The following is an 11452-nucleotide window of genomic DNA, read 5'->3' as shown; positions in this document are numbered from 1 at the left end:
TCCAGGCACTATGCCAAATGCTTTATATATACTATCTAATTTAATCTTTATATAACCTTATTATCGTCCCCATTTTATAGCTAAAGAAACTGAAGTGTAGAGACATTAAGTGGGACAACAAATACCCAAACTCAGGCAGTATAATTTCAAAGCTTCATGCTCAATAATTGTATTGTATTATGATCTTTCTGTAGCTACAGTCCATCATATTCATATTTATGTTCCCAAAGCATCTAACCTATAGTTACCTGCATGCAACAAGTAACAAAAACACAACTGGGAGACCCATGTTTAATTAACTAAAACAATGCAGTTAGGGTTTCCATTGTCCATTCTTACTATTGCTGTAATTAAAAATAATTTGGAAGGAGTAAGTGTCAACATAATAAAGCTTTAGTGCAGCATCCTAGAGATATTTGCAGATTAACACCTTGTTTGCTAATTGTGTCAGTGCTCAACTTAAGTTGCAAAATATGAATGTAAAGAGTATGAGAGTCTTGCAGATGGGATTGTTAAAGCAAACATCTCCACATATGTTTTAGCTTCAGCTCATAGAAATAAGGCTTCTACTGTCTCTCCATATGGAAAATCATTGAAGAGAGCATTTTTGTCCCCTCTCTTGCTGGCCTGCTTTTCACTCCTATCTACTCCCAGAAAAATGAGTTCCTGATCCAATTGACAAGAGCTGGGTTCATTTGCTAATAATGGGCAGGGCTACTGTGCCTCAAAAGCAGGAACCAGGCTAGCACTGCCGTTTCTTTAACTTACTGGATTCAGGGGCAGTTCTTCGCTATTCTCTCACTCCCAGAGTTTAGACACTGGAGCCACCTTGTCCTTCACATCACTCTGAGGTAAGAAAATCTGTTTTTGTGGACTCACCTTTGTCTCTCTGCTCCACTTTGACAGAGATAGGATTTTAGCTTTCCAGCAACTGGCTCAATTTATGGATTCAGAGTTTGTCTTAAAGGCTGGAAAAGCTCTACAGGCAATCTGAAATGTGCGGATCCCAGGTCAAGAGAGGAAGTCCCTAATGTGGGATCCCAGGTTAAGACAGGAAGTCCCAAATCCAGCATTTGTAAGAGAGCACTGGATGGAGAGGTATAGCACACTTGAACATATACTCAAAAGAGCTGCTTTATATATATGTGTGTGTATATACATATTATATATAATATATAATACATATAATACATATGCATATAGTATATATAATACATATTATATATTATATATAATACATATTATATATAATATATAATACATATATATGTATATATATACATATAATATACAATACATATTATATAATATATAATACATATTATATATTATAATATATAACATATTATATATACATATTATATGTTATAATATGTAACATATTATATATACATATTATATATCTCATATAATATATAATATATATAATATACATAATTTTTCTGGTTATAGGAGTAGATAGGAGTGAAAAGTGGGCCAGCAAGAGAGGGGACAAATATGCTCTCTTCAATGATTTTCCATATGGAGAGACAGTAGAAGCCTTATTTCTATGAGCTGAAGCTGAAACATATGTGCAGATGTTTGCTTTAACAATCCCATCTGCAAGACTCTCATACTCTTTACATTCATATTTTGCAACTTAAGTTGAGCACTGACACAATTAGCAAACAAGGTGTTAATCTGCAAATATCTCTAGGATGCTGCACTAAAGCTTTATTATGTTGACACTCCTTGCAAATTATTATCATGTATATAATATATATAATACATAATATATATAACATATAATATATATTATATATAATACATACGATATAACATATATATTATATTATATATAATACATACTATATAACATATAATATATATTATATTATATATAATATGTATATACACACACATGTACTTTTCTTTAAACGTCGATTCTATCAGTCAGATCCCTTAAGGGAGAGAAGTGCCACACAAAACCCACAACAACCTCTCTGATCATCAAGAAGTAAGACTTACAAAGTTTTTCAAACTTAAAACAGAAAAACTGCTGGAATCCATTGCCACATTAATTTAGGCCATTGTATCATCCTCAGAATAAATCCACACCTTACTGCTATGGTTGAGATTTCAATTACAAATAAGATACCTCCTTTAGGTAAATTAATATTGAAAATTTATCACAAATAAAAGAGATAAAAGAATAGAAGTAAACAAAATCAGTTCAATTCACAGGTCAAACATGTAAAAGTAGGAGACAGATAAAGGCAGACATGAAGATTTAATCTTCACATCAATCCCAACATTGCTTAATACAACAATACGGCAGGGAGAGGTGTTGTATGTGTTCTGTTGTTTTCAGAAAACACATATAAATCGAAAATGAAAATTCCAAAAGAACACTAGCTTCCATGCCACAGTATTTTTTAAGGTATTTTAGAAACTAGTTAGATTTTAAGTTTCAAGCTTTCAAATGTGCTTTGTGTACAGAAAATGTTTGATATATTTACTAAATATTGAAGAAATGAACATCTTATGGGCTTTGTTCTTACACTTAAAGCTGTGTTAAACAGTGCTGTGTGTATTTCTACACATATATAATAATTGACCTCTTTCCATATTTTGTTGCTATATAATATATATTCTGTGAATTGCACATTCTTGTGCTATGCCATATATGCATGTGTGTGTGTGTGTGTGTGTGTGTGTGTGTGTGTGTGTGTGTATATATGGGATTTTTTTGCCAAATTTTACCATTGCTTATGTGTACTATTCCTTACATTCCCACCAACACTGTATAAGAGTACAAATTGATAAATTGCCCCTCAAACTTACTAAGACAAAGAAGTTTTTAAAGCGACACATAAGAAATTTAATTAAATACAAATCTTAAATTCCTATATGTCAAAAGGTAAAAGAACAAAGTTAAAAGACATCCAAAAACTAAAAAAAGTTATCTTCAACATTTAAAGCAAAGATTAATATTTTACATTTCAGACAGATTATCCATATGAAAAACAGTCATAGCATAGGATTGTGAAATTCACAGACTATATATATACATATATATATACATATAGCAATAAACATATGAAAAGGTCAATTTCATCAATAGTTTAAAAAATACTTTTTAAAGCCATAATAATTTTATCGCTATTCAGAATGAAAAAAATTTAACAAGTCGATACAACCTATTGGTAAAGGGTATAAGAAAATTTAACTCCTATATACTATTCCTGGAAGTATAAATGGTAATTTTGTGTTTTAGAGTAATTTGCACTGTCTATAAAAGTTTTAAATATGTAATATTCTACAACTGAGCAACCCCACTTTCAAAAATTTATACCAAAGAAATAACATAGAGTAGGTACTTAAGAATGATCAGGACAGCATTGTTTTTAATAATAAAAAAAAAGGTGGGGAGGAAGAGCCACTTCAAGTTCCAATATGAGGAGGGGCTAAATAAATGAGACTATAACAATATAATGGAATATTATTTGGAAGCCGCAAATATAAATGCTTCAGATCACTAAGCAGATATGATAATAAAGAGTTGAGTGAAATTAATAGGAATCAGAAGGCCTGTCATCAAAAGGGATGCAAATTCCATTTTTTCAAACACATTAAATGGCTCAAACCAAGCAAAATTTATGTGTAGTCCCTTTCCCCAGCAGACCTCCAGACTGTGACATCTGAGGTAGAATTAGATAGAAAGATAGAATTAGATAGATAGAAAGCTAGCCATAGATATAAAGAAAAACGAAGTTAAATTACAGGACCAATGAATAGCAGAGTCAGTTGTTTGGTAGATATGTATACATAGGACTGCCTATAAACACATGAAAATTGAAAAACATAGGTTAACTGGGTTACCACTCTGTTGTAGAATTAGTGAAGCAGGGGCAGTGCCTAGGGATGGCTCTCACTTGTACATCTGTGTTGTTTCCTAAATTGTTTAATTCTAAGTAGTTTTTGCATTTTGGGTTTTTCAGCATTTTTCAAATAAATTTTTTAACAAAATAGAAAGAATACAGAAATTCACAGATATAATTTCAGGAAAAAGAATAGAATTGTATTTAGAGTACAGAGATAAAGCATATCTTCCTTCAATGTCATAAACTTCAGTTATTTTTAATTTGGGCCATATCTTTTATAATTAGTCAATCATTCAACCAAATTTTTTTTCCAAAGAAAAAATGTAATGAAAACTTAAATTAGCACAAATATTTAAATGCTGAATTTGCACCAAATAAAGACTTCAGGGAGAGAAAAAATAGTTTGGAAACTTTTGACAAGACTTTTCAATATTTGAGACATTTTAACTCAACTTATACCAAAACTAGCATATTTTCAATGACGTTACCAATTCACAGAATTGCATAAGTGTTGAAGAAAGTTATTTGAATATACCAAGGAAGGGCACAGTTGAGTTCTATTTCTGTTTACTCTGTATAGCTTTAACTTTGTGGTAGAAGATTACTTAAGTGAGCATTTTGGGTTGAAGAAAAAAACCTTGGCAGGGCATTTTAAGCTGAAAGCATTTGATTTTTTTATTTTTATTTTTTTACCATATTATAGTTTTTAGCATATCAAGGCTTGTGTTTAGAATTTGTTGTTACTAATTCTTACTAATTTTGTGTGTGTGTGTGTGTGCACGCACACTTCCTTTATTTGGCACATCATCATGCATTTTTACAGTCAGGTTGAATTTGAGGAAAGCACTACTATAAATATAGAAGGTTTTCTCAAGGATATAGAAGACAGGCTTGATTTTGTTCTTGCAGAAACTCTAGAATCTTCAGGCCCAAGCAATTTAAACCGTTTGTTAATTGATTACCTTCCAGCCCTAGATGATATACACTACGTATATCATCTATGGTCACTTAAACTGACTCCTAGAATCAAAAGCAGAACCAGCATCTCTTATGTGACAATATAGAGAACATAATGAGGTATTCTCCTAAAAGAGACATAAACCACTAAGTAGCAAGGAATACATGCCCTAAAATCTGTTATTAAATTAATTATTCTAAAAATTAAATGTTGAAAAATAAAACTTTATGGCTAATCATTTGTCTCCAGCTTTTTAGGGCAACTCTCATTCAGATTAAGTCCAAAGAGCTTTGTAAACAACAAGAAACATATGTGCATAGGAGCCCCAGACACCCTGAGATCCACCTCTGAGGTAGTCATTGAAGGACTCTTAAGTGCTGAAATAGTCTGGGCTCACACAGGACTCAGTAAGTGAAAGCTCATTTGCTGCTATCAACAAACAAATTAATAGTACAGAGTAATAATGCAAGAGAATTCTTGGTGCAGTTGTGCTGTTTAGAGATTCTCAAGCATACTCAAATGTGAAAAGGAATACATTTCTTTCTCCTCTGTAGCTCAGCCTCAGATTTTTGTTTCCAGGATTCCCCCAGGTGAAAGTAATCTCTCACCTCTAGAATTCCATTTCTGCACTTCCATTTCATCTCCCTTGTAGTACACAGTTTGTGTACTTTTTAAACATATATCAAATCACATGGCCGGGTGCAGTGGCTCACACCTGTAATCCCAGGACTTTGGGAGGCAGAGGCGGGCAGATCACTTGAGGTCAGGAGTTTGAGACCAGCCTGGCCAACACAGTGAAACCCCCGCCTCTACTAAAAATTCAAAAATTATCCAGGGTGTGGTGTTGCATGCCTGTAATCCCAGCTACTCGGGAGGCTGAGGCAGGAGAATCTCTTGAACCTGGGAGGCCAACGTTGCAGTGAGCTGAGATTGCACCACTGCACAGGGCAACAGAGTAAGTGAGACTCTGTCTCAAAAAAAACAAACAAAAAAAACCCCACAATACTCTTCTATTCAAAACCCTGCCATGGTTTCCCCATCCTGTGCAAGGAAAAAGCCATGGTCCCTAGTTGGCTCTCTGACTTCATCTGAACTAACCTCCTCCCTCTGCCCCACCTTCTTCATGTTTCTCCAGTCACTCAGACCCCTGGCTATTCCTCAAACACCCCCAGCTTTTGCTCTTACTCTCTGGAGAATTTACTAAGAGAGCTACAAAGAAATAAAGTTATGTGTTTTAAGAAGAAGTGCCCTCATATGAATAGAATTTGGAACATTTAGTGCCACCTCTGCTTGTTCGAACAGAGGCAGCCAAATCTATTTGACATTTTCTCTCTATGTACGTTGCAGAAAAGTCTAATAATTCTCAAAAAACTGTGTTGATTCAGTAATACATCCTAATTAGTATAGCAGACATTGCTTTAATTCGTAAATCTAGTCATTTGGCAACAAATCCATTTTTTACAACTTTTAAAATTTCATTATTAATTGTGAATTAATTAATTACATATCACATAACATTTACCATCTTGATTATTTTAAATATACAGTTCAGGAGCACTAAGTACATTCACATTGCTGTGTAACTACCACCACCATCCATCTCCAGAACATCTTTCATCTTTCCAGATAGAAACTTCAGACCCATAAAACAGTAATTCCCATTCCCTCCTCACTCTAGCCCCTGGCAACCATCATTTTACTTTCTGTCTTTGTAAATTTGTCTATTCTAGTTCCTCATATAAATGGAATCCTACAGTATTTGTCCTTTGTGACTGGCTTATTTCACTTAGCATAATGTCCTCAAGGATTATCCATGCTGATGATGTGTCAGAATTCCCTCCTTTGAAAGACTGGATAATAGTTTGTTGTATGTATAGACCACATTTTGTTTATCCACTCACCAGTCAGTGGACACTTGGGTTGCCTCCACATTTTGGCTGGATATGAATAAGACTTCAGGAAGGGAAAAGTTAATAGCTTGGAAAGTTTTGACAAGACGTTTCAATATTTAAGAAATTTTAACTCAAGTTTTCCACCAAAACTAGCATATTTTAAGACTATGAGCATGGGTATATAAATATCTCTTCAATTATGTGGGATACATATGCAGAGGTAGAATTGCTAGATAATTATGATTATGGTAATCCTATTTTTAATTTTTGAGAAACTATCGTGCTGTTTTCCACAGAAGCTGGCATGTTACTTTCTTACCAACAGTGCACAAGGGTTCCAATTTCTCTACATCTTTGCCAACACTTGTTACATTCTGGCTTTTTTAATAGCAGCCATCCTAATTGGTGTGAGGTAGTGGTAACAAATCAATTTTTATAGCACAAAAAGTTTGCAAATTGATCATCTTTGCCATTACCTAAATACCCCAGCTGACCATGTCTCTGCAGAAAGCAGAACAAAATTCGTGTTTTGCAAAGATTAGATATTTTAGCACTTAGCTGAATGTTCCATTTCCTCACATGTAAAGCAGCATAACTATTTTTTAAATTAATAGGAAAACCATCTAGAGTAAAATGCTAAGGACAAGTAAAAGGGAAGTGGAAAGGATGATGAAAAAATAAACTTAGACATCTTTAGGTGGCTTGAGACTGATGAAAACCTTAATTAAAATTCTAAAGCTCCAAACATTTTGGATTTTTTTGATGGGGAAAGGATGAAAATTTAGTAATTTTATATCATGTGTTTTTTCTTTTGCATTTTTCTTTTGCAACAACTTTATTTAGTACTGTTACTCAATTGTGATAATTTCAATGTTCCTGCTATTTTGAGGATTATTGTTAATATTTTAGTGGATAGTTATTTTCCTTTAAACTTGAATTGTCAAAAATGTTGCATACTTGAGAGTGATCTTATTACATTCTAGGATCAGCCTTTTTTTCCCCAGAGTAATAGTCAATAATTGTATAATGCTAGTCAACAGAAAAACAGGATTCACTTAAGAGAATTTGTTTTTCAGTTAGCTTTGCAGGGACACACTTATTCCACTGAGAATAAGATACCTGCACTGACATCCACTCAGAGAAGTAATAACTTGCCAAATCCTACTTATCAACGTGTATCCTTTTCTCAATTAATTCAAGATTTCCAGTTTGTTTACTTTCATCTCCAAAATAGCAACAACTTCCTTTAATATTTCAGACAGTCTGGCATTTAAGTAACTGATTGATGAATGTTCAATTGCACTCAGAAGGCAACAGCCGTTCTCATCATCTGTAATTCATTAGCATATAATGGAAATGTCATGCCAATCAAATTAAAGTTGCATGTGATAAGAGCTCTTTGTTATTGATTGAAATTTTCTTCTCAGCAACTGTTGTAACTGCATTTGATAGAAATAGGTTCTCTGCCTGTATCCAAGTTGTTTTTATTCTTTTTCCCTCCTCTAGGATGTCACATTCTCTTTCTGTGCCTAGGCAGCAACGAGCATCCTTTCTCCACCAGTCTTGCTTTCAGCTGCCATGTTTTTGTTTTTCCCCTCTTCATCTCTTTGCATTGTTCATTGCTGGGCTACAGCAAAATACTGGAATGCGTAGCATATTGCAACAGAAGGAGAAGAACATATCTTCACAGAATTTATGTTGTATACCTTTAAAACTTTCTGCTTTAAGAAACTGCCATACCAAAATAAAGCTATTTGCATACACACTAACCACTCTTTAACCTATGGCATGATGCCACTACATAGAAGATCATCACCAAAAATCCATGTCCGTGTTTTCAGAAAGAAATAAAAATATGATTTATATACATTTTTTGTTGTGCTTTTTTATACAAGGGTTAAGTAACAAAATAAAACATGTCACATTTTGTTTATTCTTTTAGGCCTCACAGCCGAGGATGTCTTTAGTCTGCAAACATTTAAAATTTTTAACTTCAACATTTCACCACAGAAGACATCTGAAGGTTATCCTCTTCCCTTTACTCTAATAAATTCTGTAACTCAGAGCTTGATGAAAGCACTTATTTCTTGACTCTAACAATGTAAAAAAAGAAAATTTTAAATTGAAGTCATTTAGAATTCCTCAGTAGTTAAAATGTTTTTCATAGACACAATCAAACCTTCTTTAAAGTTGCAATTAATTCTTAGTTAGGGGAAAAATACCATATGGAATAAAATTCTCTTTGGAAATCACGTGTTTGCATTCCTGCTGTATGATTATTCTTACCACACCAGAAACTTCTTAATTAATTGCACTCTTCAAGGCTACACTAAAACAGATGTAAATAAGTGCTTTTTATAACCATTAACTTTCACAACAGGCTTTTCCTCAAGAACTGTATGTTTGAATCGTCGAGTGGCAGTTTGAGGGTGTGGGCTGCTGAAGGCTGGCACCCTCTCATTTACATAGGCAGTTTATTATTCTAAATCCAACAAATGGGCAGAAAGACATTTCCAAATGCAAAGGCTCAAGAGTTGCCCGTGTTTAAAAACAAATTGGACTTAGTCTGTTGACTTTTGAGTGGTGATTATACAATTAGTGCTGTGAGTTGGGGGAAACCCGCCCCAGTGCTAACTTGGTTTTATTTGTTTGTTTTTAAGTTGGCAAGAAAGCAAGACTGCTGAGAGCTTAAACCAATGAAAAATGCGACAGTGAGAGAAATTAGAATAGTAAGAACTAATAAAAACAAAATACGAACAAGGTCTTGTAAGGAGTCCAAAAGAAGTCGACCTGGCCTGATGCCAATCGTCACTGATTTCAGGGATGGAATTCGTTAAGGAAGGAGCGTGTCGTGTCTTCTAGGAACTGCAGCGTGCAGCACGGTGGAAAAGAAGGGAGTGAGCCGGTCCGCGTACACTCTAATAGCAGAGTATTAATTTCAACTAGTCTTGTTAACATACTTTTTTGTTGTTGTTTTTGAGATTGCTTGGGGAAAAAAAGTAGCAAAAAATGTTACAACTACACAAATCTATTGTGCCCAACTCTAGTAGACACGTTTGCCTCTTTGCATTAGGATTTTCGTCATAAATTGGCTTTTAAATTAGAAGATTACCCTCTGATCTGAGTGAATCTGAATGAATCTTTGAGGGGAAACTTCTTCAATTAAGCCAGGGAGATTCTCCCAAAACAAGAAAAAGAAGTTTTCATTTCAGGGTAACAGGTGATCGCATCCAAATCAAACTCGAAGCATGTGCTCTTGTGATAAATCCAGGTAAATTTCATTCCAGAGATGAGATTCTCTCATGCGAAAAGGAAGAATAGCAAAGTGCAAACCATCACGCACCAACGAGAGCTACCTCATAAAGTTTAATCTGTGACAATTCATCCATAATTCCTCTCACAGACTTAAGTAGCATGTGTTTTCAGAAGAGAGGACCCCATCATGATCTCACATGAGCCATCTGATTGTGATTTCTGAGGCCTTTTCAGCTTTGCAATCAAACAGTAATATCAATAATAACAGCTACCGATTATTAAGTGCCAAACACTGTGTACTTTACTAATCATCCCTGTGTACTTTTATAATCATCCCTAATTCCCAAAATAATTCTGTAATCTGGGTATTATCTCCATTTTTACAAATAAAACTTGGCGTCAGAGAGGTTAAGTAACATGTCCAAAGTCACAAAGCTGGTCAGTGGAGAGCCAGGATCCAAAGTCAGAGCTGCTGCACCCCAAAGCCTAAGCTCTTTTTATTACCCCCTGCTTTGAAAAGACACCCTCATTCCATTCCCTAGATAACAAGAGCAAACCCAGTATGTCTCCCGTGTACCTACCATCATACCCTCTCAACATCCTTTCCCAAATTTCTATTTTGCAAAGATTTCTTGTTTTTCCTTAAGTAAGGCTGAAAGACAGCCTTTCTCTTTATTTACAGCTACCCATAAAATAAGATTAATCAGCTTCACAGAATTTATAACTCTGATTTAAGAGATGGGGCCAAAGTCCAAATACAGATGTGGAAATGATTATTCTTACACCTATTATATATAAGGAGAGCTCTGCATGATCACACAAAGTGAAGTTTCTGTCTGTCTCTGTGACTTAAGCCATCCCATCTTTTATGTATGTCTTCCCAGTTTACAACCACAATTCCTGGTTTTAAGGCATGTTTGTTACACATACACACACACACACACACACACACACACACACACACACTCTTCCTAAGTTTATCTACTGGTCTTTTTTCCTTCCAAATGTATGACACTGGAGGATTTAGAATATCTGTGATGCTCAATAACTATTTATTATCATTAATTAGCCAATTGCCTCAAGAAAGCCTAATGAAAAGGAAAAGAGTTTGGTTTAAGAAAACATATGATTAGACCTCCCTGAGGACATCCCCTTTCTCATCAGAGAATTTGCCATTTGGATTCACTGAGTAACTAACTGCCTTCTCATAGCTATGATTCCTTTATCCAAACCGATCTCTACGTAAAGGATCAAGACAATTATGAGAAATTAGTATAAATTAGAATTAAACTGAAATTCCCCACATTGTATCAAATTGAAACCTTGTTACTTAATCTTTACATTGTCTTCCTTGGGGGTTTTCTCCTTCCTTCATTGTTTAGGCAGTAATTTCTCTCAGGCCTTTTAGTTAGCCACCTTCAGCTTACTCAGGAAAGTGAGGGCTGTTAAGAGCTGTTCTGGTGTCCTGGGATTTGTATGTAGAA

This window comes from Homo sapiens, chromosome 4, assembly GCF_000001405.40.
Source record: "Homo sapiens chromosome 4, GRCh38.p14 Primary Assembly".
NCBI classification, from domain to species: Eukaryota; Metazoa; Chordata; class Mammalia; order Primates; family Hominidae; genus Homo; species Homo sapiens.
Note: the sequence above shows the minus strand (reverse complement) of the source record.